General features: G+C 51.7%; 1 protein-coding gene across 2 annotated transcripts in view, besides 10 other annotated features; it reads right to left on the bottom strand.

Moving 5' to 3' along the window:
• The window catches only part of GPR137B (G protein-coupled receptor 137B), a 66,369-nt gene extending 47,310 nt beyond the window's left edge, over nt 1-19,059 (bottom strand). For both annotated transcript variants that reach the window (NM_003272.4, XM_017002209.3), the window contains exon 1: nt 18,562-19,059. In NM_003272.4, coding sequence (NP_003263.1) covers nt 18,562-18,975 — 414 coding nt within the window. In that variant the 5' untranslated portion in view covers nt 18,976-19,059. The remainder of the gene's footprint in view (nt 1-18,561) is intronic.
• Nucleotides 1,273-1,322: an enhancer, noted in NCBI's record as "active region_2818". NCBI's record gives its function as "activates an Ori minimal core promoter by ATAC-STARR-seq in GM12878 lymphoblastoid cells {active_cell/tissue: GM12878}" and the evidence as "EXISTENCE:reporter gene assay evidence [ECO:0000049][PMID:35858748]".
• Nucleotides 1,413-1,862: an enhancer, noted in NCBI's record as "active region_2817". NCBI's record gives its function as "activates an Ori minimal core promoter by ATAC-STARR-seq in GM12878 lymphoblastoid cells {active_cell/tissue: GM12878}" and the evidence as "EXISTENCE:reporter gene assay evidence [ECO:0000049][PMID:35858748]".
• Nucleotides 1,963-2,012: an enhancer, noted in NCBI's record as "active region_2816". NCBI's record gives its function as "activates an Ori minimal core promoter by ATAC-STARR-seq in GM12878 lymphoblastoid cells {active_cell/tissue: GM12878}" and the evidence as "EXISTENCE:reporter gene assay evidence [ECO:0000049][PMID:35858748]".
• Nucleotides 2,978-3,027: a silencer, noted in NCBI's record as "silent region_1999". NCBI's record gives its function as "represses an Ori minimal core promoter by ATAC-STARR-seq in GM12878 lymphoblastoid cells {active_cell/tissue: GM12878}" and the evidence as "EXISTENCE:reporter gene assay evidence [ECO:0000049][PMID:35858748]".
• Nucleotides 4,707-4,816: an enhancer, noted in NCBI's record as "active region_2815". NCBI's record gives its function as "activates an Ori minimal core promoter by ATAC-STARR-seq in GM12878 lymphoblastoid cells {active_cell/tissue: GM12878}" and the evidence as "EXISTENCE:reporter gene assay evidence [ECO:0000049][PMID:35858748]".
• Nucleotides 5,017-5,076: an enhancer, noted in NCBI's record as "active region_2814". NCBI's record gives its function as "activates an Ori minimal core promoter by ATAC-STARR-seq in GM12878 lymphoblastoid cells {active_cell/tissue: GM12878}" and the evidence as "EXISTENCE:reporter gene assay evidence [ECO:0000049][PMID:35858748]".
• Nucleotides 10,417-11,185: an enhancer, noted in NCBI's record as "H3K4me1 hESC enhancer chr1:236313713-236314481 (GRCh37/hg19 assembly coordinates)". NCBI's record gives its function as "activates a minimal SCP1, AML or CMV promoter by ChIP-STARR-seq in naive H9 embryonic stem cells {active_cell/tissue: H9 hESC(naive)}" and the evidence as "EXISTENCE:reporter gene assay evidence [ECO:0000049][PMID:30033119]".
• Nucleotides 18,332-18,835: an enhancer, noted in NCBI's record as "H3K4me1 hESC enhancer chr1:236306063-236306566 (GRCh37/hg19 assembly coordinates)". NCBI's record gives its function as "activates a minimal SCP1, AML or CMV promoter by ChIP-STARR-seq in naive H9 embryonic stem cells {active_cell/tissue: H9 hESC(naive)}" and the evidence as "EXISTENCE:reporter gene assay evidence [ECO:0000049][PMID:30033119]".
• Nucleotides 18,801-19,070: a silencer, noted in NCBI's record as "silent region_1998". NCBI's record gives its function as "represses an Ori minimal core promoter by ATAC-STARR-seq in GM12878 lymphoblastoid cells {active_cell/tissue: GM12878}" and the evidence as "EXISTENCE:reporter gene assay evidence [ECO:0000049][PMID:35858748]".
• Nucleotides 19,141-19,320: a silencer, noted in NCBI's record as "silent region_1997". NCBI's record gives its function as "represses an Ori minimal core promoter by ATAC-STARR-seq in GM12878 lymphoblastoid cells {active_cell/tissue: GM12878}" and the evidence as "EXISTENCE:reporter gene assay evidence [ECO:0000049][PMID:35858748]".

The following is a 26,354-nucleotide window of genomic DNA, read 5'->3' as shown; positions in this document are numbered from 1 at the left end:
TTCAAGTTGAGATTTGCATGGGGATGCAGCCAAACCATAACAGGAGGTGTGAAAAGCGTGTGGAGATGTGGGAGGCGTGAGAAGGTGTGAGTGGGAGGCGTGAGGAGGTGTGAAGTGTGTGTGGAGGTGTGAGGAGATGTGATGTGTGGAGGTGTGAAAAGTGCATGGAGGCGTGGGAAGCATGAGGAGGTGTGAACCTGCATGTGGACTTAGGAGCAGTGAGGGAGGGGGTGAGGAGAGAAGGTGCTGCAGGAGCCCGGAGCTGGGGAGGGCAGCAGAAGGTCGGGCTGGGGTGTGGACCAGCCAGGAAGAGGCCGCTGTCCAGGGTAAGGGTGCGGAGAGCTTCGGGGGAGCATTGGCACAGCTGAAATGCAGACCTGTGCTGTGAGAGAGGTCCCTGGGATACAGAGCAGAGCAAAGGCTGCAGACCATGGGTTGACAGAGAAGGTGAAAATGAAGGCAAATCAGAGGCCCAACACAGATTCATGATGCCTGGGCCTGGAGGGCGTGGCGGGGAATTGGAGGGTGACCACTAAGAGGCACGGGGTTCCTTCTGGGATGGAAAAGGTCTACAGTGGACTGTGGGGTCACTGCGCAACTCTGAATGTGGTACACTTCGAGATGGGGACAGCACAGAAAATGTGAATTATACCTCAATAAAGCTGTTATTTAAAAAAAAACAAAAAGACAAAAAAAAAACTAAGAGTAGGGAGGAGGTCAAAGAGCAGTCCCCTCAGTGGTCAAGGCCTCAAAGACTGCAGGGGAGAGAGGCCCCGGGCAGGAGACAGTCAGGGTGTCCAGTGCGGCTGACAGGCTGGACCACTTCACCTTAAGCTGCCACAGGGCCTGGCCAAGGGCAGGCTCGACTGACGGGGAGGCTGGAGGGGGAACAGGCAGACCCTGGATGGCAGCAGGAGGAAGTGGGAGCAGTGAGTCAATTCAAGAGCATAAACTGCTTTCCAAAAGCGCATGTTTGTGAAATGCAAGAAAGAGGTTATTCAGGGGGTCCAGACCTTGTTTTTAAGATGGGGAGACCTGAGCATGCTTGTGGACAGACAGAAGGAGCCTGGGTCCCGAGAAGGGCAGACAGGGAGAGGCAGGAGGCAGGGAAGGGTGGAGGGCTGAGAAACTGAGGCAGCAAGGAGGGGTCTGAGGGAACATGGCAGGGACAGCCATGGGAGTGCCATCTGCCTAATGACAGGGACCCCGGGGAAGTGAGGTTGGGTTGGAGAGTCCCAGCTGCTTCTTGGGGAACCCGATCAGGAACTGAATGGTGGTAAATGAGCCCCACTTCCTTTCCCTCCCCTTCCTTGGGCTCCACACAGCCTATGAAAACACCGGGGTTTTTCAGGGCTTCCCCCGTTGTGGCAAGAAGGATGGGAGGACAGGGGAGGGGAGCAGAATCAGGCCTGAAGGAGAAAGAAGAAATTGCAGCAACTTTGATCAGAAACCCTGAAGTTTGTCATCTGGTGAAAATAAAGCATTTCTCCCTAATGGCAAATTCCTTTCGGTTTTAGCATCGTTTCTTCTGCTTTTGAAAGTCCCACCTAGAACCTCAGAACCTAGAATAGATCTGGGGATGACGCTGTGGGTGATGCTGGCTTTTTGACTTGTTGAAGGCTGAGCCACGGCTGGGAGATGTCCCCAGCTGGCCGCTGTCAGGCGCTGGGGAATGTTCGAGAGCCCTCATGGGCTTTCCGCACCACCCGCTCCCACAGTGGGCCAAGGCCTCCTCATCCCGGACCTGTGGGCGACTTGTGCCCCCTTGGTAACCCAGGCCTTCACCCCATCCTTTCGGATGACACAGGAAGGCCTAGAGCTCTGCATGTGACGTACTTGTTTCGACAGAAGCATAAAGGCCTTTGAGCAGCTGCTGGACTCTGCCCCCTGCCCTCATAAATCAGTCTGTTCACGCGTCACTGATTTGTTCCCACCCTTTGAACTCCCGCTTGCCTATTTTTTTTCTTTTCTTTTTTTTTTTCCTGCAACCTCTGCCTCCCAGGTTCAAGTGATTCTCCTGCCTCAGCCTCCCGAGTAGCTGGGATTACAAGCACCCGCCACCATGCCTGGCTCATTTTTGTATTTCTACAAATACAAAAAGAGACGGGGTTTCACAATGTTGATCAGGCTGGTCTTGAACTCCTGATCTCGTGATCCGCCTGCCTCGGCCTCCCAAAGTGCTGGGATTACAGGCATGAGCCACCCCGCCAAGCCTATTTTTTCAACTACTAACTCAAGTTGACATTTGCTGTCTTACAATCTTTCTGTTTGTTTGTTTGTTTTTAAGAGGCGGGGTCTTGCTGTCACCCAGGCTGGAGTGCAGTGGTGCCATCATAGCTCATTGCAGCCTCCATCTTCCTGGGCTCCAGGAATCCTCCTGCCTTAACTTCCTGAGTAGCTGAGACTATGTACAGGTGCAGCCCAAATGCCTGGCTAATTTGTCTTATTTTTTAGAGATGATGTCTCCCTACATTGCCCAGGCTGGTCTTGAACTCCTAGACTCAAGTGATCCTCCCATCTCGGCCTCCTGAGTAGCTGGGTTACAATCATTTTTACTAATGTCTTAGTGGTGTTTCTGGCAGAAATGTCCCCTGCTATTCTTTGTGGGTATGACAGTGTCTCCTGTGCAGTCAGCAGAACTCAACAGAAGTCACCTCTGATGTCCCTGGAGGCAGTGTCTCTGATGTACCAACAAAGCACTATGCTTCCAACCTGCGCTTGATTCAGAATCTCTGCAGCCATTTTACTTTATAAATCCTCTCCCCTAAGCCAGGACCCACATCTGGACACCCTAGTGTCTCCACTTCTGTGCCACCACTCTCTGGACACTTCATAATCCCCCTATCCTTAAAAGGGGGTGCATCCTGATCCTAGCTGCCTGTGGGCTGAGACTCCTGAGGAGACCCTCGCAGTAACTGAGGGGGACTGAAACTCTTAGTGCACCAAGCACAGACTCCTGACTAAAGAAACCAGTCTCTATCACACACGCTGGTTCAAAACGTATGTATGCAAATTCATCTGAAAATGTTACAAATGCATGGCAGGTTGAAACTTTATATTATAAAATAATTTATGTATATACAAAGAAATAACAGCAAATACTCATGCACCCAGCACTCCATCCTTAATACTTTGCCACGTTTGCTCCAGCTATGTTTTGTTTGTTTGTTTCTGAGACAGAGTTTCACTTTTGTTGCCTAGGCTGGAGCGCAGTGGTGCCATCTCGGCTCACTGCAACCTTGTCTCCCGGGTTCAAGCGATTCTCGTGCCTCAGCCTCCCGAGTAGCTGGGATTATAGGCACGTGCAACCACACCCGGCAAATCTTTGTATTTTTAGTAGAGACAGGGGTTTCACCATTTTGGCCAGGTTGGTCTTGAACTCCTGACCTCAGGTGATCCACCCACCTCAGCCTCTCAAAGTGTTGGGATTACAGGCATAAGCCACCATGCCCAGCCCCAGCTGTGGTTTAATAAATAAAAATGACACAGCTGGAGCTCCCAGCCTGCCCCCTCCTGGTGCCATTTGCTCCCAGGAAAGTAATCACTATCCTGAATTTGGTGTTTTTATGGCTAGGCAGGCTTTCACTAGGTAAATCTGGATTCGTGAAAGATACAGAGTACCGTCCAGTATGGTTTTGCACTTTATATGAATGCATTAATACCTTCCATAACCTTCTGCAGTTTGTTTATTCCCTCATGACTATGTGTTTGGAAGGTATCTATGTTGATACACACAGTTCTAGCTCATGCATCTTCACTAAGGCACAGTGCAGTTGGCCCCTGGGCAGCATGGGTTTGAACTGCATGGGCGCATCTATACATGGATTTTTTTCAACTGAATGGGAATCAAAACTACGATGTTCTCAGGACGTAAAACCTGAATATAAGGAGGACCAACTCTTTGTACATGCAGGTTCTACAGGGATGTGAGTATGTGGGGCTCTGAGCATACTTGGGGGTCCTGGAACCAGTCCCCCACATATACTGACAGACGACGCTACTCCTATATAACAGGCCACAACCGGTAGCCCTCTCTGACAGAGGGACACAGAAGGATGGCTAAGTGTGTGGAATCGGGCCGGGCACAGTGGCTCACGCCTGTAATCCCAGCACTTTGGGAGGTGGGGGAGGCGGATCATGAGGTCAGGAGATCAAGACCATCCTGGCTAACACGGTGAAACCCTGTCTCTACTAAAAATACAAAAAATTAGCCGGGCGTGGTGGCGGGCGCCTGTAGTCCCAGCCACTGGGGAGACTGAGGCAGGAGAATGGCGTGAACCAGGAGGCGGAGCTTGCAGTGAGCAGAGATCGCGCCACTGCACTCCAGCCTGGGCGACTGAGCGGGACTCCGTCTCAAAAAAAAAAAAAAAAGTGTGGAATCTGGAGCTGGCTTACCTGGGGTTGAATCCTGGCTCTACCAATTATCAGCTGTGTGGCCTTGGAAAAGTCACCTGCCTGCTCTGTGCCTCAAGTACCTCACCTGTAAAATGAGACTAATAACACCAGCCACCAGGTTTTCCTAAGCATTTGGTGAATTAATAGACATGTAGAGCACCTGGACAAATGCCTGCCGCCTAGTAAGTACCACGTGGGTGGCTGCAACCCCTGCTGTTGGTATTATTAGTCCTCATCTATGTTCGCAAACCATGATTCTAAACGCACAGCTACTAAACTGTGACCACAGATGCTATCCTAACCATAAAAGGAACTTTCATACTGAAAAAGGTTAAGAACCACTGACGCATTCGATATTTGCTCTCCTGGTCCCTCTGCGCTACCCACTTCCTGATATATTGGGGAAATTATGCAAACCCCAGGGCCCTGGTCTCCCCAGGCAACAGTCATTAGTCAGCTGCTTCAGTCTGTTCCCACATGCTGAGCATCCTCACTCAGCAGAGCAGGGTGACAAGACAGTCGGTCCCCGAAATCCAGACACCGGAGTTCTCCTTTCTGCAGGGTTCCCGGAAGACACACAAGGCGGCTCTGCGGCGGGGAGGGGATCTGCATTTGAGGCTCAGTCTCCAAGACAGTGCGAGCAAGGGCGGGGCCTCTATGCCTGCGTTAGGATGTTCTTTTCTTCCAAACGTCAGCTGTGGGCTATAGGTCCAGGGACTCAGGACCTGGATAACCACCACCACAGCCCCACTCATAGTCCTGTGTCCGTGGCAGTGAAGGTAACTGGCCAGAAAAGGCAAGCAAGCACGCTGTCCATGCCATAAAGTTCTGGGAGGCGGTGGCCTGAAGCCAAGGTGTGCCTGGTCTGTGTCCCAGGCTGGCCAGGTGTGAGAGGGGTCACTGGAATACATGGTCAGGTGTTCACCGCATCACCTCCCACCTTTGACTTTGGCAAGCATGTGGCCCAAGAAGCTGGTCCTGCCTGCTCCTGGCCTCGTGCTGGCCCTTGGAATGTGGGCCCCCCAGACTTCAGTGAGCTTCTTCCCACGTGATCAGAAGCCAACCATAATTGCTTCTCTGGATTTCCATAGACCTCGGAGCTCCCTGGATGTGTTTGCAGCCTTCTCCAGCCCTCCTGAGAGCTCCGCTGCATGGTCCTGTTTGGCTCACCTGGCGCCTATGATCCTTCCTCAGGTGTATGCATGTGTGTTTGCGCGCGCGCGTGTGTGTGCATGTGTGTGCGTTTGTGTATGTGTGTGCATGTTTGTGCATGTGCACCCCACAAGGCAGGAGCTCAGCTCCCACCCAGGATGTCCCTACCTTGGTCCTCACAAGGCATTCCTCATTTCATAAGTGATAATGGGATAACAGTCTTTACCTTTATAGATAAAGGGCATCTCCACTCACTGTCCCCCTTCCCAACAGCTCCTCTTCTCCTTCCTGTTCCCAGCAGCTCAGCTCTCCGGGCAGCAAGCACCTCTCCCCTCCTCCACCCCTCCATCGGCTCACGAGAGCCTCCCTGAGCCTCATAAACTGAGCTTCACTCCATCCAACGGCGCCAACACAGGCTGGCCACCCAGAAGGCAGAACTCAGGGTGGCCCTGAGCCCCCACATTGATAAGTCAGCCCAGCAGGCAGCCCGCGAGGAGACGGGACTCTAGAGAGCACACCTCCCACCCACACCCTTTGCGGCTCTCCAAGTCAACCTAAAGCCACACCAAACGCCGTCCTTCAGTCTCCCTGCTTTTCTGAATTGTCTCTTGTCCCCTGAGCACCTGGATTCAGGGGTGAGGCTGGTCAACCCTCAGGAACCTACTTTGTTGGTTCCTGGTTAGCTCCATCGACCTTTCTAGGCCTCAGTGTCTATCTGCGAGGTGAAAGCATTAGGACAAATATTCATTAAGCTGCTTCTACTTTGACAGCTCCATGACTTGAAGTTCCTTCCCAGGGACAGCCCGTGTCAGCCCGTGTCCTCCGCCCTGGAAGCCCCGCAGGAATAGCTGCGGCCCGGCCGCTTCAGCCACAGAAGCGCACGGACCTGCCCGCCTGCCCACTGCCTGGGTGGAGTCCGTCTCGGCATCAGTTCCGCACAGAGGTGGAGGCAAATAATTCTGACCTGCCTCCCTGGCAGGATTCTCTCTCTTTGGCCTTGGGAATGACAAGGGCTGTGGCCACACAAGGCCCTACCATCACTGTTATGTTTCTTAACTGCTTAACCACAAATTGCAGTTCACAGTTTACCAGCCAGGGCCCTGCCCCTAATTGTTCTAAATGTACTTAAGGAAGGTGACACATTAGAAGCACAGAGGATGCATTTCTCCCGGTGGCCAGCGCTGGCCCACTGGGCCCTATGGCAGGAGGGTCCCGGGCCACGTGCGGCAGTGTGCAGTGTCGTACCATCGTGCCCTGATCCTTGCTGGCAAACGATGCAAAAACTACAAAATAAATTCGCAGGGAAAGTACCCCAGTTTGTTTTTGCCCCTCCTCACAGAATAACTTTCTGCTTCAGAAGTGAGGAGAATTCTGAGGTTTTAGGATGCCCTGGGAACTCCTGCCCTTGCTGGACGTGTCTGGTATTAAATGACACTCCCTGTGTCCTGCCACCGAGAGAATGACCATCTGGCCTCCTCGAGGGGAAGCTATGTGGGTAACGGGGGAAGCTCCTCACTAGGGGTGGGGACTTGGTCTGCTCCTGACACTGTCCCAGCTCACTGGGGCCTTCGGGAACAGCAACCAGGATGGCAGAGGACACACCCACGTTCCTCCAGGAATACTGAAAAAAACTGGGACTAGCTGACCCCAAGCAGAGAGAACTCGGGGAAGACACAATATATGCTGTCAAAGCCGTGACAGGCCGTGTGTCCTCGGGGGACGGATGACGCGTGCTGTTCACAGCCCCAGGGCGCAGGGTGGGAGTTACCCAGCACCACCCTTCCATCCTCATGTTGGTCTGGACCCCACGATTCGCTGAGAACAAACCCAGGCAGACCAGAAATTCCAGCTTAACCTGGAGCAGGGCCCAGGAGGACACGGAGTCTGGGGGCTTCCACACACAAAACCCAAGACTAGCCAGGGGCCCAACTTGGTTGCCCCAGAATCTGGTTCTGGTGAGAATACACCTGCTATGTCAACCTAAACCTAAGCCTTCACCTCCCAGTGGCACCCAAGGAAGGGGCCCTAGGAGCAGGACCAGGGCAATGGTGGGTGGAAACCCAACAGCCCAAGTCACAGGTGACGACTTCCACCAAGAAGTTCCCTCCACAGCCATCCTGGCATCGCTTCACAGTGAATACCTGTGTTTGGGAAATATTTTGATTTCATTACAGTGAGATTTTTAAATTGGATTTGACTTTCATTTAAATAGCAGCAAAAACCACTGGTTCTTTTTAAAGCATGTATCCTAGAGGGGGACTCACAGAGATGAAGGAATGAATTAAGTCTTCAACTTTCCACTGAAAACATCTCACACTTCATATCTCTACTGTAAGGACAGCCACTAAGTCACATCAGCCAGTCAATCGCACAATGGAGAAGTCGTTGACATGAAGTCTGTTTTCCTTGCTCAAGGCTAAGTTCCACGCAGCGAGAATCTAAGTTTGACCTTAAACAGTCTGCACAGTGTCTGGCACACAACAAGCACTCAAACGCGCATGATGAAACAACCTAAATGTCCATCAACGGATGAATGGATAAATAAAATGTAGTCTCTATCCATGCAGCACAATATTATTTAACCTTATAAAGGAATGAAGTTCTGATAAATGTTACAATGTGATGAACCTCAAAACACTATGCTAGGAGAAAGGAGAAGACGTACAAGAATACACATTGTATGATTCCTTTGATATGAAATATTAAGGATAGGTAAATCTGCAGAGATAGAAAGCAGATGGGTGGCTGCCAGGGGCTGAGGCAACAGGGACTGAGTAGTGATTGCTTAATGGGCATAAAGTTTCCTTTGGGGGTGATAAAAATGTTCTGGACCTAGATAGAGGTGACAGCTGCGCAATACTGTGAATGTACTGAACATCACTCAGCTGCATGCATTCAATGGTTAATTTCATATTGTGTCAATTTTGCTTCAATACGTCTTTTTTTTATTTGGTTTTTTGTCTGTTTTTGTTTGTTTCTTTTTTTTTTTTTCCCCGAGATGGAGTATTGCTCTGTCTCCCAGCCTGGAGTGCAGTGGTGTCATCTCGGCTCACTGCATCCTCCGCCTCCCAGGTTCAAGCAATTCTCCTGCCTCAGCCTCCTGAGTAGCTGGGATTACAGGCGCCCGCCACTGCACCCAGCTAATTTTTGTATTTTTAGTAGAGATGGGGTTTCACCATGTTGGCCAGGCTGGTCTCGAACTCCTGACCTCATGATCCACCCACCTCAGCCTCCCAAAGTGCTGGGATTATAGACGTGATCCACTGCACCTAGCCCAATACATTGTTTTTCTTTTTGAGATGGAGTTTCACTCTTGTCACCCAGGTTACAGTGCAACGGTGCGATCTTGGCTCACTGCAACCTCTGCCTCCCGGATTCAAGCAATTCTCCTGTCTCAGCCTCCTCAATGGCTGGGATTACAGGCGCCCACCACGCCTAGCTAATTTTTGTATTTTTGGTAGAGATGGGGTTTCACCGTGTTGGCCAGGGTGGTCTGAACTACTGACCTCAGATGATCCACCCGCCTCGGCCTCCCAAAGTGCTGGGATTACAGGCATAAGCCACTGTGTCCAGCCCCAATACATTTTTTTGAGACAGGTCTCGCTCTATCACCCAGGCTAGAATGCAGTGGTGCGATCTCAGCTCACTGCAGCCTTGACCTCCCAAGTTCAAGCAATCCTCCCACCTCAGCCTCTTGAGTAGCTGGGATTACAGGTGCATGCCACTATGCTTGGCTAATTTTTTAATTTTTTGTACAGATGAGATCTCACTATATTGCCCAGGATAGTCTTGAACTCCTGGGCTCAAGCGAACCTCCTGCCTCGTCCTCCCAAAGTGTTGGGATTACAGGTGTAATTCACCACACCCAGACAATACAATTTTTTTAATTTAAAAAAAAACACCTGTTGAATAAATGAAATGAATCGCCATGTTCCAGTTGAACTTTATGTTGCTTTGTGAAAGCTGGGAGGACGAGGCCCTCTCGCATGGATAGATGTGTGCTGTCTTCCCAGAAAATGAGTGTGGGCCTGATGGGGCCAGGCTCACGGCACGCCAAGGTTGCTCACACCCTGCCCACTTCCCTCCTTATCTGCCACCACTCATGCACTAAAAATGGACCGTCACACAGCCTGATGGGACAACATGACCTCTGACAGCTACAAAGAAGCTGTGGCAGCAGAGTCCAAGGTGACAGGGAGAGTAGCCTATGGGGTGGGAGCAGCCCACAGAGCCAACCCCACCGTGTATGGGGGTTTTTTCACCCTGTGTTTTGCAGACTGCGTAGCTCAGCCTCGCAAGTGTGTATGCCATTTAAAAATCGAGGAGGGAGGCCGGGCGCAGTGGCTCACGCCTGTAATCCCAGCACTTTGGAAGGCCGAGGCAGGCGGATCATGAGGTCAAGAGATCGAGATCATCCTGGCCAACATTGTGAAACCCCGTCTCTACTAAAAATACAAAAATTAGCTGGGCATGGTGGCGGGCACCTGTAGTCCCAGCTACTCGGGAGGCTGTGGCAGGAGAATCACTTGAACCTGGGAGGCAGATGTTGCAGTGAGCCGAGATTGCGCCACTGCACTCCAGCTTGGCGACAGAGCAAGACTCTGTCTCAAAAAAAAAAAAAAAAAAAAAAAATGAATATGCAACAGAGACCATATGTGGCTCACAGGCCTAAAATCCTGACCCACATAAGCTTGAGGTAATCAACCCACTTGCAGAGTAAAACCATTTGGGCTTCATCTGTCCTTATAGGTTAATGGACTCTAAGCTTCAGCTGCAGGAAACATAAAAAGTGAAATATTTATGAGCCTCTGCAGCCCTCGGGGAATGCCTGTTGTCCCAGGTACTGTCTAAACAGTCTGCTGGGGCTATTTCTGTACTGAGAGAACTGGCCGGCCAAAATGTCAGGACCCAGACAGACCTTCCAACCAGGAACCAGCTTTCTTCTTCTCACTGGAAACGCAAGGCCAACAGGAACAGCCTGACAAAAGCGGCTCTTGGGATCACATGACTTTGTTGTTTGCAAAACCCTAAGACGCTTGCAGTGAGATTTTGTAGAGGGTCTTGGATCTTGCAAATGTTCCTCTCTGGGCAGCCCACCCCTCACTGTCATGACCCCTGCCCTCCACTCCCCGCCACTCAACGCTGAGCAGCTAGCCTGGGGCTCAGAGGGTGGGCACAGCAGCAGCGGGACAGCCATGGCTGGGCCCTGGAACTCCACTGAGAACCTGCACTAGCCTCAGGACAGTGCTCCGGCCCTGCCTCCCTGCTGGTCACTACCAGTTCTGCCTGTCTGACTACGGAAAGGCAGGTGAGCAAGAAGCCGTAGCAAAGCCTGCAGGTGCCACAGTGTTCGGAGCCGACAGTAGGGCGCTCCTGATGGTGACCCGGCAGCAGCCTCAGCCCAGCCTCTGCTGTGGGGAAGTCCAGGCTTCCTGCATGGTCACTGGGGTTGGATGCTGAATGTGCTGTGAGGGGCCTAATTGTTCCCCGAGTGCTGAGGGCATTAACAGGATTTAGTTCCCCCTCGGTTGGCAGGGCATCACCGAGGCACTGATGCGGTCACAGCCTCAGCTGCAGAGAGAAGAGCACGCTGCCATGGCTCGAGGAGAGGGCTCGGGAAACTGGGCTGTATGTTTAGAAAGTGGCCTGCGGGAGGTGCTGGGGGTGAACGGCAGACCAAGAAAATAAGGAAACCTTTCCACACACACAGGCACACACATGCACAGACACACACACAGGCACATACACACAAACACAGGCAAAGACACACACAGGCACAGACACACACAAACACAGGCACACACACGGGCACAGACATACACAGGCACACACAGGCACAGACACACACACAGGCACACAGACACACACAAACACAAACGGGCACACACATGCACAGACACAAACAGAGGCACACACACAGGCACACGCAGGCACAGACATACACAGGCACAGACACACACATGCACAGACACTCAGAGACCCACACAGACACAGGCACACAGAGGCAGGCACACACACACACAGGTACACACACAGGCACACACACAGGCACACATACACAAACCCCACACACACACAGGTGCACACAGGCACACACGCATATGCACATACACACACAGGTGCACGCAGCCACACGTGCACAGGCACACATGTACATACACACAGGTGCACACAGGCACACATGCACATACACATACAAAGGCGCACACCTAGGTGCACACACAACTCTGGCTGGCCATGAGCCCACTGAGCTAGCTCCGCAGGGAGCCGGTGCCAGGGGCTGAGGCCATGGGCGCAGGGCCCAGAGGCCAGGCTGAGCACAGTCCTTGCCCTTGGCCCGCCTTGTCTGTTTCCTAAGCCTCTTACTTCTTTACAATCACCAAAAGGCCTAGAAGCTTCCCTCTTCACAACTCCTAGACTAGGGCCTGCCACACGACAGGTATTTGATAAACACGTCTTGACTAAACTGACCGCCAAGAGCCACAGCCGAAGCCCCTTACTCCTACAATCACCCACGTCCCTTTCCTGGTGAGCACGGAGGACTAGTTCCTGGATTCGACTTTTAGGGGCCTCTTAGTTCCCTACCAGCAAGAATGAGGACTATGACCCACTTCAAGTCAGAGTGTGGCGTCTGTAGCAAGCACGGATCGGTCAGCCTGAAACACGGGACTTGTCCTGCCTCTGCACGCCTGGCTGGGCTGCCTGGGAGAATTTCCTCCTCTGGTCGGCTCATCTGCAAAGGAGGGGCTGGGCTGCTGGACCCCCAGTGCCTTCTGCTCTCATGTCAGGCACTGCGATTAGGCTTGCCACATGCTCCCTACGGGTGCGCCAAGAGTCACCACCGTTTTACAAACAGAAAAGCTGCTGTTTGGTGGAAAAGTAATTTTGATGGCACAGTAGGCTGGAAAAGGGCAGGGTCAGCCCGGGGACCTGACCTTCAGGACAGTGGCTGGGTGTCGAAGCAAGAGCCTAGGTTCAGAGCTGTAGGCAACACACAGTGAGAATCTCAACTAAGGGAGGAGAGGAGCAAAGGGATTCAGGACACACGGCATCTCCTTTAACCCACTCCGACCCATGGGATGAGTATTACAGTTTCTGTCTCCCTGGTGAAGCAGCAGCCTTAGAGAGGTGGTAACCAGCCATGGGACCCACACTGGAGGCAAAGCCCGGATTGGAACCCAGATCTGCACCCAGGGACCCTGCTCCTTCACTCCCAGGGCTGCCTCCTCATTCATAAGGCTTTGCTGGCCTAGTGCCCATGATGAGCTCCCAACACCGACTATGAGCCCCTACCATGAGCCGCAGGCCCTCACCACGAGCCCCTGGCACCATCCCACAGGACCACATGACTCACGAACCATCCCTGCTGCAGCTGAGTGGAGGGTGTGGAAGTCCCTAGCTGAGTTTCAGAACAGAACAGACCAGACCCCGATAAATGTCAGCTTCCCATCTGCCCTCCAAGGCATGGTGACGTCTCAGGTCTCAGTTCCCACATCAGTGTCCATTCATCACAGCACCTCTCCCCATGGAGAGAACTCGCTTCTCCATTTCCTTCCGCAAACCATGTGACTGCAATGGCAGGAGTTTGTCATAGGGCCCAAGACAAAGCTGAACCAGCCTGTTCCATCCTGCCAAACTCGGGAATCTGGAGAGTCTGAGTTCCAGGCTGGGAATTCCGAGGAAGAAGGGCTGGGATACGTGGCTGCCGAGGTGTCACCGAGCCCACCGCCACATCAACTTCTGCCCCTGCAGGGCACAGACCTGTCTGCCCAGGAGCTGCCTGGGCACAGAAGCTACCGCCTTTGCTTCTGAGCCTCTATCCTGAAACCTGGAGGTAGAAGGCACCATAATTCCTCATGAGCAGAGACCCCTGCCTGCCTTAGGTTTCAGAGTCCTGCCCCTCTCCTAAGTCCCCACTAAAATGGTGATTTGACACAGCGCTTAGAACAGGCTCTGAGTCAAAGGCCTTGGTGCAAAGCCTTGGTCCCGCCACTTCCTCATGCAGCCGGGAGCAGAAGCTCAGCTGTTCCCCAAAGCTGGCACAAGGAGCCACAGCTGGAAACAACAGGTAGTCAGCACTCCATGTTCCAAACATTTGGGGCCAGACAGACACTGCATACAGACGGCCCGGAGAGAGTTAGCAGAACCAGTCCTACCACAGCCGCCTCCCCATGTTCCCAGGCTGAACTGGAAGGTGGAGAGTGGAGATGGAGAAAAAGAGTTAACAGCCTGCTACCAGCAGGGCACCTCACCCCAGGTCAGAAAGGAGAAAGACACATGGACACTGCTCACAGGGATTGGGCAGGAAGGGGGCCCGGGCAGATGCTTGCTGAGCTGGGACTGTTTGCAGGTGGAGTCCCGGTGGAGCCTGACCTGTGCCCTGGTGATCTGGAGGCACCAGGCACTTGGAGGGTGATGCTTGCTTCCACCTGGGATTTTTACAGGTGGGAGGGCCCCTAGGCACGCAAGGAGTGAAAAGCAGCCAGGTGCAGGGTCCTGAAGACGCTAGTTAGGCATCCAGCCTGTCACCCATGTGGCCAAGTGGGAGTGGAGGGGCCTCAGTGATCCCATGGCTTTCTAAGAAAAAGCCCTAAAAGGGCTTTTCGAAAAGGGGCCTAAAGCCATGTGGCTGCCCCCTGAAGAAGGAATTGGGATGGAAGGGAGACCAAAGATGGGGCTAGGAAGAAGCTGAAGTCCATCATGTCAACATGGCCACGTGGCAGTTACCCACAGAGGCGGCGCCAGAGCAAGACCAGAGGCCGACACGCTGGCAGTCACGAGAGAGTGTGCCCCTCCCCTGGGCTGCCTGGGAAGATGGAAGGGGAGAGGCTGAGAGCATGGGCACACCCTCTGCACCAAGCCCTGCAGCTCGAAGCCTGGCTGGCCTTGGACAGTGTGGGAGAAGCTTTAAATCAGACGTAAAGATTTAATAAAGGAGTATGGGCCAGGCACAGTGGCTCACGCCTGCAATCCCAGCACTTTGGGAAGCCGAGGTAGGCAGATCACCTGAGGTCAGGAGTTCAAAACCAGCCTGGCCAAGATGGTGAAACCCTGTCTCTACTGAAAATACAGAAATTAGCCAGGCGTGGTGGCGCACACCTGTAATCTCAGCTACTAAGGAGGCCGAGGCAGGAGAACTGCTTGAATCTGGGAGGCGGAGGTTGCAGTGAGCCAAGATCACACTACTGCGGCCTGGGTGACAGAGCCAGACTCCAAAATAATAATAATTACCGAGTATGACTAGAAAGCCATAGGATCTGCCTGAGAGGTCATTAGGGGTGGAAAGAGACTTAACATGGCAGAATTTAAAAGCAGTGATTTAGGGGTAAGTTAATCAAATTGAGCTTGCTCATGATCGCATTACCCTCAGATGTGTACCCAAGGGCAGCCGGGGCTGCGTACTGCAGCATCGTGTGCATTGCACGGAGGCTCGGACGGGGCAGTGTGGGCAAGTGTTCTCACCCCTCCGAGCCTCAGTTGGGGGGTAACAGTACCCTCTGGGTCACCAGGGAGGGTGAGATGAGTAAGGCCCAGGTACAGGGACCCTGCAAAAGCACAAAGGACTGACAACAACAGAAAAAAGCTTCCTCCCCATCTCGGACCTCTCCTTCCAGTTCATTCCCAATTCCCAAACTGCCCCCACGACTTCCTTCCCACCATCCTCTCTTCCTCCCCACCCAGCTTCAGCCTCCAGACACCTGCTTCTTCTCAGAGGACTCATGTCTCATTCAAGTCTCCTGACGCTTCAATAACCATTCCCTTCAGTGCCGCAAATCGTGCCTTAACTGTGCTGTATGTATACTTTGATTCTCTGCAACCTGATTTTGCGCTCCAGGAGAACACGAGGTTAGATTTAGAGTTGGGTATGTTTTCCCATTGTTAAGAGGTTTCATGGCCAGGCGCGGTGGCTCACACCTGTAATCACGGCACTTTGGGAGGCCGAGGTGGGCAGATTACTTGAGGTCAGGAGTTTGAGACCAACCTGGCCAACATGGCAAAACTCCATCTCTACTAAAAATACAAAAATTAGCCAGGTGCAGTGGCAGGTGCCTGTAATCCCAGATACTCGGGAGGCTGAGGCAGGAGAATCGCTTGAATCCAGGAGGCAGAGGTTGCAGTGAACCCAGATCACCACAAAGCAAGGCTCTATCTCAAAAAATAAAATAAAAAGAGGTTTCACATACTGTACATAAAAGACAAACCTCACACTCAGACAGCACAGATGTGTGTTGAATCCCAGCTCCACCATGCACTGACAGTGTGACCTTGAGCAAGTCATCTACGACCTCTCAGCCTCAGTTTCCTCCTCTGGAAAATGGGGACAATACCGGTACTTTCTTCAGAGAGTTCTGGTAAAAATAAATATAACCAATTGCTTAGAAGTGTGCTTTCTTGGCCGGGTGCGGTGGCTCACACCTGTAATCCCAGCACTTTGGGAGGCCGAGGTGGACAGATCACAAGGTCAAGAGATCAAGACCATCCTGGTCAACATGGTGAAACACTGTCTCTACTAAAAATACAAAACTTAGCTGGGCATAGTGGCACACACCTGTAGTCCCAGCTACTTAGGAGGCTGAGGTAGGAGAATCATTTGAACCCGGGAGGCGGAGGCTGCAGTGAGCCGAGATCGAAAGTATGCTTTCTTAAACATACTTCTTAATTGTTAGCTGTCAGCCCCTTCTCCAAAAATCTCATTTACTTGGTCTGAGATGGGGGCCCAAGCAACAGTCATTCTTAAAGCTCCCCACTTTAGGTAATTCCAATGGTTTGTGTAAGAGAAAGAGGGGGTGAGCGGGAGAGGAGGAGAAGGGAGGCAGAGCTGGGTTGGCGACAAAAGGCTTTATAACTCCCCAGAAGTATCACAGTTTTGTCACTAAGCCAGAAATGGCTTTGTTCTGCCAGGCTCTGAGATGCCAGCACTCAGAGATGGAGACATGCCACCTTCTCCAGCCAGCCACCCTGTGCCCTCAGGCGAAAAGCCTTTGCTGTGGTGCCCGCAGACCTGGGAGATATAAAGAGTACAGGGCCGTGACTTTGGGCCCCTGGGCCGGAGTGGCTCTGTCTGCCTGGTCACTGTTTCCCTTGCTCAGCATTTACTCACCAACCAGCAGATGGTGCAGAAAATGTGCAGCCCGGCCCCTAATCCGGCTCTAAGTTCAGAATTTGCATGTGATTACCAGAGAGCTGTGGCAGTTCCCTGCATTTTCCTCTTCCCCCACTGCCCCCCAAAAAGGGGACAAATATAAAGAGCTCAACGTGCAATACCACCATTGTCACAGTTCTTAGGGTAACATCACCTCACCTGTCTTTTGCATCTTGCTAGAACCACCTCATTTCAATTACAAAACCCAAGTGTCTGTGCAATGCAGCCGACTGCCTGAACTGGTTTGCAGGTTTAAAGGTTGTACTTGGACAGGCAATACGCATTACTCTCCGACCGGAAAATATGCTGATGCGCTGGACTTACAAGAAGTCTGAGTGTAGACCCATTTTTAAAAGATTATACTATCTACAAAATATCACATATGCTATTTTTTAGCCAAAAGTACTTCTTCCATATTTTCAGTCAGTGGCTTCCACTGTACCAGAGCAATCCTTTTCCTACTTTGTTTTTTTTGTTTGTTTGTTCGTTTGTTTTTTTGAGACAGGATCTAGCTCTGTCACCCAGGCTGGAGTGCAGTGGTTCAATCTCTGCTCACTGCAACCTCCGCCTCCCGGGCTCCGCCTCCCACCTCAGCCTCCTGAGTAGCTGGAACTACAGGCGGGCACTACCACACCCAGCTAATTTTTGTACATTTTGTAGAGAGGAAGTTTCGCCATGTTGCCCAGGCCGGTCTCAAACTCAGGGACACAAGCGATCCTCCCGCCTCCGCCTCCACAATGCTGGGATGACAGGCATGCGCCACCGCATACGGCCTCTTTCTTTTTTTAAATAAGTGACTTTTTCTCAAAAAAAAAAAAAAAGACACTTAAAAGGAATGAGATGCCTGCTTGCACAGGGTTTCTGCCCATCCGACAGTTCTGAAATTACCCTCACCAGGTGACACCGTTGACGCCTTCCCCTTCGGCAGAGTCCTAGTGAAAATGGACATCTTAGTGCTTGGAAAGCTAATGGGAATCAGAGATGATGATGACGATGATGACGGCGGCACCGCGTTATTAAACCTTTGTGCAACGCTATACAAAGTATTTGCAAAGTGCTCAACAATTACTGCACTTTCATTAAGTCAACCATCAGCAGTAAAGCAGCAGCCAAGTTAATTCACATACTCTCCCATTAGCTTATTTAATAATATGCCCCATAAAGTGATTTTTGTGTGGCTGTAAAAGAGCCCCAGTCAGCTTTTATGGCCTTTTCTTGGGGCCTCTCAGATGAGCTCAGACAGTAACTCTGATGAGCGGCAGCAGCTCGGAGCTGGGTGTTACCCCAGCCTGCTGTTTAGCAATCCGGTGGAATGAGTTAGTAAGCCGCAGTTCTGTAGAGCTCCTAAGCCGGAGGTTCAAAACATCTCATCAAAACCAACATGGTCTCACCCTGCCAACGCTCAAAACAGCAGTGTCAGGCCCAAATCTGGAGGCCAACGTGCAGAAGACCTTTCCAGGCCGGGAGTTAGGTGCCTGGGGAGGCAGGGCAAATTCTAGAGTTCAGGCCTCCCTTGGGGGCACACCTTCCATCCGTACTAACTGGCGTGTGCAGGCGCTGCTGCTTCGCGCTGCGCACGGAGAAGCGCCCCGAATCCACCGCACGATGCGGAGCCAGGGGCAGCGAGTGAGCGGCGGCCTCCAGCCCTCCCCTGCCTTCTCCTTGCCCCTTTTGGGAATGGCAGGGGGTTTCCTATGACAAATGCCCGCAAACAGGACAGGGTTCGGACGACCCCAGAGCCGGCGCCTTCTCCCTACACTCTCAGCCCTAGGGCCGGACCCGCCCCCGCGGCTGCCATCGCCCCTGCCTCGGGCGCCCCGCGGGGACCACCCCGCCAGGTGAGCGCCTCCAGGAGCCTCTCTGAAACTCACCTGCGTGAAGTACAAGTTCATCAGCGTGAGGGTGAAAAACTGCAGGCACACAGGGAAGCAGTAGAGCAGCCAGAAGACGAAGGGGCTGAGCGAATTGGCCGCCACGAAGTCTTTGAAGTAGAAGGAGAAGAGGACGGTCCGCAGGGAGGCCCAGAAGAGGCAGAGAAAGAGGAAGACGCTCTGGTAGCTGAGCCGCTTGTGGCGGTAACGCAGCACCAGCCAGAGCTGCACGTAGATGAACACGAAGAGCAGCGCGTAGAACACGGTGTAGACGACGGTGAGGCCAAGCTTCACGTAGGGGGGCACGGCCGGGGTCAGCGTGGGCGGCAGCGAGTCGTTGCGGGCTGGGTCCCACGGCGGGGTCTCCATCGGGCCGGGGGCGCTGCCGCGCGGCCGGGGACGCTCGGGCCTCATCGGGGCTCACGGCCGCCGCCGCCCCCGCGGGGGTCTCCGCGCATCGCGCTCAGCCTGCAGCCCCGAGACTGGAGGAAAGAAAACAAGCCGCACTTCCTCCCCCGGCACCACATGATTCACTGGGACGGCCTTTGTCTGCGATTGGCAGCGCCGCGCCCGCCGCCCCCGCGCGCCGACCGGCCCCGCGCGCCCCCGCCCCGGCCCGCGCGCCCCCGCCCCGGCCCGCGCGCCCCGGCCCGCCCTCCCCCGGGCACCGCGCGCCTTCGCCCCGCGAACCCCGGCCCGCCCTATCCTCGCCACCGCGCGCTCCCGCAGTGCGCGCCCCCAGAGCCGCACGCCTCCTCCCGGCCCCCTCCCCATCCCCGGGGCCGCGCGCTCCCAGACTGCGGGCCCCCAGAGCCCCGCGTCTCTTCCCCCCTTCCCGCCCCCTCCCCATCCCAGGGGCCGCGCGCTACCCGTCCCCGGCCCCTTCCCCATCCCCGGGGCCGCGCGCTCCCGCACTGCGCGCCCCCAGAACCGCGCGCCTCCTCCCCGGTCCCGGCACCGCGCCGCGCGCCCCCAAAACTTCCCAGCCGCGCCCCGCGCCTCGGGGGATCGCACTCGTGGCCTCGCGCATTCTGCTGCTGATTGCTTGTTTTGCAGAAGTTAATTCCTTTATTTAAAAACAAATTTAAAAAAAAAACTTTACAAGTCCTTTCCGTCCCCCCCTTTAAAAATAAAACTTTACGACTCTGTGGCTATGAACTGGCCGGCGTCTGGAATGATGTTTATTTCTAAATGCAGACATGCCAAAGACAGGGTTCGTATTTTTGAGGTCAAATTTGTATACTGAGTGAGGAAATAGACGGTGCCTGCGGCTGCTGCCTCCTCTGGGATGCAAGCTGGGCTGTTTTCTCCCGGAGAGCCTCACGCGCTCCCAGCGCCTCACCTCCCAGCGATGTAGCCGGTGCCGGGAGGCGCGCGGGCCGCGGGTCAGTGGATGGAGCCCACTGGGCTTCAGAGAGAAGTGGGGCAGCTGACGGCACACGGCCCCCCTTGTCCGATCCAACCCATGCCGAAGGAGGGTCTGTCCCCGCCACCCGAGAGCCCTTCTCTTTTGCTTTTGCTGAGCAGCTCGCTCCTCGAGGCTGTACAGCGACTTAGTCTTTGCCCCGGGGCACCACGCCACCCTTGTCTTGGGAGAGCTGGGGAGTGCTCTGGGAAAAGAGGGAAAGCCGGGCGCCCTCTGGAAACATTGCTGGGCAAGCGGTTCTGGTAAACAGAAGAAACTCGGATTTCCGAGGCTCCAGTAATTGTGATTTCTTTTCTTACTCCACTTCGTGCCTAATTGTGTGTTCTTTTTCCAAAAGACGGCCTGGCATATCCAGAATCCACCCTAGCTTTTGCTCAGAATTACTTAGTGGTTACAGCGCTCCCAGCGTATTCCAGGTGGTTCACTGGGGCCAAGTGTGCCTTTGGCGTGGAGCTCCTTTTCCAGTTTTTCTATCCTTTCCCTCTCTCCCTATCGCTATTTCAAGAGGAAATACGGAATTGGGCTCCACGCCTCTGATCTCGTTCCCCTCAATCCCCGTTCTGAACAGCGCAAGTGGAATGATGGAATGATCGCTCTAAAGAACACCTGGCCACTTTACTCCCGTGCTTAAATGCCCTTCCCTTGCTCCTCATAGTTCTGGGGTTAGAGTCTAAACTCCTACCCTAGCTTACCTCCCTGCCTTATCTCTTCCAAGGTGTTAAGCAGTGTTAACACCTCCTGACTCCCCTAGACTAAGAAAATTCTGCCCTTTCCTCCAACAGCTGGTCCTTCCTAGCTATCCATGAGGGTGTAACTTCCTGCAGAGAGCCTCTCCAGAACTCTCCACCCACCAAACTCTCAGGATTAGGCTAGGTGTTTCACCTGTGTGCTTCCCTAATATCCTTGCCTGATTGTTAGTTTCCCCCGCAACACACTTATTTATGTGTCCTTATGATAGAAACTAGGCTTGTTTACCAGTCTCTCCCCTGGCACATTGGAAAAGCATCCGTATACATTTTATTACACTGAAGGAATATTGTTTGTCAACAGAGGTCCAGACTCTGATATTTCTCCCTCCAGTGTGCATGGATTCTACCTCATGATCCAGGAGGGCTACTGGCTCTCCAGACATTGAGTCCACATCCCAGGCCAGCGTTAGGAGGAACAGGGGAAGACTAAAGAGCACTTGTTTTCTCCTGTTTCTGGAGCCTTCCCAGAAAGACCACATAATGCATCCACTTTTAGCTCATTGCTAGGACTTAATTACCCTAGCAAGCTGGCTACAAGAGATTGGGAAACGTAGTTTTAGTCCACGTGGCATTGTACACAGCTGAAAGCCATGGTTCTGTAATTATGGATGAAGGGGCGAATGGATTTAGGAAAAACTAGCATCTTTATCATGACTTCAAAGCAGACAAAAAGAATGCCAGATGGCTACAACAGTTCACCTCTTTGACTACCTAGTGTCAAATGTTTCTTATCATCTTTACAATTCTGAAAATACAATAAAGATGCTCCCACTTAATAACCCTTGTACAATTGAAAAGCATTCCAAGCCAGGTGCTCACACCTGTAATCCCAGCACTTTGGGAGGCCAAGGCAGGTGGATCAACTGAAGTCAGGAGTTCGAGACCAGCCTGGCCAACCAAGTGAAACCCTGTTTCTACTAAAAATACAAAAATTAGCCGGGTGTGGTGGCACATGCCTGTAATCCCAGCTACTAGGGAGGCTGAGGCACAAGAATCGCTGGAACCCAGGAGGCGGAGGTTGCAGTGAGCTGAGATTACGCCACTGAGCTCCAGCCTGGGCCACAGAGTGAGACTCCATCAGGAAGGAAGGAAGGGAAGAAAGGGAAGGAAGGGAAGGAAGGAGGGAGGGAGGGGAAAAAAGGAAGGAAGGAGAAAGGAAGGAAGGAAGGAAGGAAGGAAGGAAGGAAGGAAGGAAGGAAGGAAGAAAACAGAAAAACACATTCCCTCTTTCCCCCAAAAGGATCATCATTTTCTGTGTCCAGCTCCAAGCCCAGGAGCTCTGGGTGATAGCCATTCCTCCAATTCTGTCACCATCTCATCTCAACATTCTGTATCTTACGGACTAAATTATTAAGTTATCCATCACTAGTTTGTCCTGTATAAAATAGTAGAAGAAAAAAATGTAAAGGAAAGGAGAATTCATTATTAGGTTGGCGCCAAAGTAATTGTGGCTTTTTGCAATTAAAAGTAATGACAAAAACCACAATTACTTTTGCATCAATTTATAAAATACATACATATGACACAGCAAGAAAAAAATATAAGTTAGAGTTGTTGTTTTTCTGACTGGTCATAAAGCTGTAATTGCTCTCCTTAATGGACGTTACAAAATTTCCCTTTCCCTTCATCAGGGATCTCAGCTAGTCAGGGGTAGCCCTGATTTCTGAGGAATCTAAGCTTGTTAATGTTTGCCACTGGACATGCCAGCAGCAAGAGGCACTACCATGATTGAATTCTGTCTATTCACCTTTTATTGCTCATCATATAACAGCAACTCTACTTCCTCTTAATAGTTACTGTCATCACAGCCAACACCATCATACTATTTTTTACAATTCACCCACTGGCATGAGGAGTCTGAAATAGCCAGGGTCTCAACTTTTATTTCACTTAAACCACACTTGAATCTCCTGGGGTAGAAGAGTTCCTCCTTGGTTACTAAGACCTTCAAACTAGCCAAGCCTAGAGGCGAAGGAACGGGAAACAAAAAAATTTGCAAGTAAGTCACTGAGTGTTAGTGAAAGGTGCCATTCTCTTGGTTCCTGTAGCCATGTATCCTGACTGCAGGACAAATAGCACGATATGTCAGCTTTGGGTTCAGAAGAAATTCTATATATTATAGGACACCAATGCTACCTTTCTGTGCATTGTTGTCCTGCAGGCACAATAACTAAGCCTACAATTGGTCATTCCACCACTGGATAAGGCCAGCTGCTACTTGAGGGACAGAAATTAGCCTACCACGTTTCTTCTTTTAGTATAAAGTGAGGTCCTTGGTCAGAGCAATATTGTATAGGATACCATGATGATGAGCAATGCATTCAGAAAGTCCCGGGACAATAACGCAGGCACAGGAGGCAAAGAAAGTCAGTCCAAGTTCAGAAACATTGTCTATTACAGCAAGGACAAATTGCTGATATCCTACGTGATTAAAGAGGTCTATATAATCTGCTTTCAGGTGGCTGTCTAGGACTTCCCCTGAGTTTGAAACCTCTTGAAAGGCTCAGAGTTGGCTGGCGATACTCATGAAAAGCCAGGTCAGCCTTGGTGGGGAAGTCCAGATTGTTACAAAATGGATCAGTCAGTCCCTGCCTGCATGGTCACTGTGTCCATGAGCCCATTGAATAAGCAGTGGGCTAACTGGGGACAGAAGATGTCTTCCATACCCAGGGCAGGTAGACATGTCCACCTGAATGCTGAGAGCCTCCAGTAGAGCTGGGTGTTTTGGGGAACCTGACTTGGTGGCTTGATGGATCAAAATAACATGCAGCTCAAGACGGGCAGCTCAGACTCCATGGTAATCTGCCTTCTTGATGAGACATTCAGTCTCTTCCACAGCCCAGGAGCAAGCCATCTCTTTCTCTCAAAAGAAAAATAGTTATTTGACAAATAAGGCATGTATGTGTTCCCAAACCCTTATAACTGACACTGTGATTCTCCTAACAGGGCTTGTCACAGGTAATGTACACCTCTCCAATCTGCCATTGACACTTTGAGCACCGTTAGATCCACGGAGTCATGGATGACAAAACAGATGGCATTGCAGCCTGAACCAAATGGAGCATCTCCTCTGCCTTGAGCCCCTTCTCAAAATTAGCTCCCTTTTGAGACACCCCATAAGTGGGTCAGAGAAGCCCACTAATGTGACAAATATTGCTTCCATAAATAGGACCTCAAAGCATTACGCTTCTGCTTCCTGTAGGAGGCGGTGTCAGCTGTAATATCTCATCCTTCATTTTGGAGGAGCTATCTCAACCTAGACTCCCTGAAATGCTTCCGTGAGGTCACAGGCCCCTGTAGACTCATGAGATTTACATGTTTCTTACATGCCTAGAATAACTGCCATCTCTGCCTTGTGGGTCCTCATAGCATGATGTCATTAATATAGTATCACTGTGATGTCCAAAAAACATTAAAATGATTAAGAGTTCTGAAGACCAAATTGTGGCATGAAGCCAGAGTTGACCTAACCCTGAAGGAGATAGGAAAGTATCCTTACTAGATGAGACAAAGTGGCTTTTGGAGTTCTTCACTTATTGGGAATGAGAAAAAAACCATTTTCCTCCAGAGGCTGTGTGGGCTTGCTGTATTGAAGTCACCACCATATGAAGCTTATGATTACCTGTTTTATTTTCCAAGACCCCTCCATCTGTGTACCAACTGAACAGTTAGATGAAAAAGTGATGGGAGTTTACCACTTCTTTTTTTTTTTTTTTTGAGATGGAGTCTCGCTCTGTTGCCCAGGCTGGCATGCAATGGCGCGATCTCGGCTCACTGCAACCTCTGCCTCCCGGGTTCAAGCAATTCTCTTACCTCAGCCTCCCGAGTAGCTGGGATTACAGGCGCCCACCACCACGCCTGGCTAATTTTTTTGTATTTTTAGTAGAGACGGGGTTTCACCATGTTGGCCAGGCTGGTCTTGAACTCCTGACCTCAGCTGGTCTGCCTGCCTCGGCCTCCCAAAGTGCTGGGACTACAGGCGTGAGCCCCTCCGTCCGGCCTTTTTTTTTTTTTTTTTTTTTTTTGAGGCAGAGTCTTGCTCTGTCGCCCAGGCTGGAGTGCAGTGGCGTGATCTCGGCTCACTGCAAGCTCCGCCTTCTGGGTTCACGCCATTCTCCTGCCTCAGCTTCCTGAGTAGCTGGAACTACAGGCGCCCGCCACCATGCCGAGCTAATTTTTTTGTATTTTTTTTTTAGTAGAGACGGGGTTTCATGGTGTTGGCCAGGATGGTCTCAATCTCCTGACTTCGTGATCTGCCCGCCTTGGCCTCCCAAAGTGCTGGGATTACAGGCGTGAGCCACCGTGCCCAGCCTTTTTTTTTTTTTTTTTTTTTAGATGAAGTCTCGCTCTGTTGCCCAGGCTGGAGTGCAGTGGCGTAATCTTGGCTCACTGCAACTTCCGCCTCCTGGGTTCAAGCGATTCTTCTGCCTCAGCCTCCCGAGTAGCTGGGATTAGGAATTTACCACTTCTTTGGCATCCAAGTTCAGGTCTGAGAGTTGGATGCGGGTACAACATTCTCTGATGGGATGGTTTAATTCAGATCTAGGGAGTTTTTATTTTGCTTTTGTCAACTATATTAAGCAGGTCCACAGAGGACCGCCCATCTCATTTGTCCTAAGAGCTCATATTCAATTAGTTTCTGCCAAAGATCTTTGATGTGCAGGCAATTCTGATTGTCAGACTGGCCATTCTCAGACTGGTCATGATCATCTTGCCTTCTATTGGGATAACCTCTCCCTTACTGGTGGTTGTGCTGCCATTGAACTCTGGCACCCAGGATCCTGGCAAACATGAGGGAGTCCATTCATCTCCAGCCGCTCTCAATAGCATCCCTGATGTACAGAGTATAGCTACGACAGTACTTTTGAGATATACTTCTCTCACCAGTGTCTCTCTCGGTGCCTTGACAAAGGGAGTGTCTTCTGGTCCCTCTCCAGGACCAGTTAGGGGATTGGTGAGTGGGATTTGCACAATAAATCCACAGCAACATTCCTATTTCCTGGGATTCCTGCTTCTACATTATGCTTGATAATTTCAGACCTCTCAGCTTCTCTTGAATGATGTGGGCTGCCATCAATTCCAGGTTTCATTCAACCAATGAACCAGACAAACAGACCCCTCCCTCTGCTCCAGGAAGCATATTGAACTAGAATCTCTTGGTAAACAAATGTTCTTTGCCTCCTACTCTGGTTTAGCACCCTTAAAATCCATTCCCACATGTATTCTGAAGACTTTTTTTCCAGAATAAAGAGCAAAGTCTTGTAGTTATTTTGGTGTGTAATTCTCCATCCAGGGTTGGCTTTATAAAATGAGGGATATGTTGGTATCTAGTTCTGTCTTTGAAGAAAATGAGAAGTGGGAGACACAAGGCAACTTGACTTCCTCAGGCAAGAACCATAGTTCTTCCAGCAAGGCAGGAACAGCCTCCTCACACGGAGAGAAAGGGCTGCTTTCTGTGATAAGGGGAGCTTTGTGCACTGAGTCCTTAGTCCCATCTGTCCCCATTCTCCATCCCCTGATTCCAACTCTTTCCAATCAGTCCCCGAACTATCACATAAGAGACCAGAGAAGGCTGTGCATTCAACAGATGTTGAAAATCAGAAACCTGGCTCAGTGCG

This window comes from Homo sapiens, chromosome 1 (assembly GCF_000001405.40).
Source record: "Homo sapiens chromosome 1, GRCh38.p14 Primary Assembly".
Taxonomy (NCBI): Eukaryota; Metazoa; Chordata; class Mammalia; order Primates; family Hominidae; genus Homo; species Homo sapiens.
This window is presented reverse-complemented; position numbering and strand designations above follow the sequence as displayed.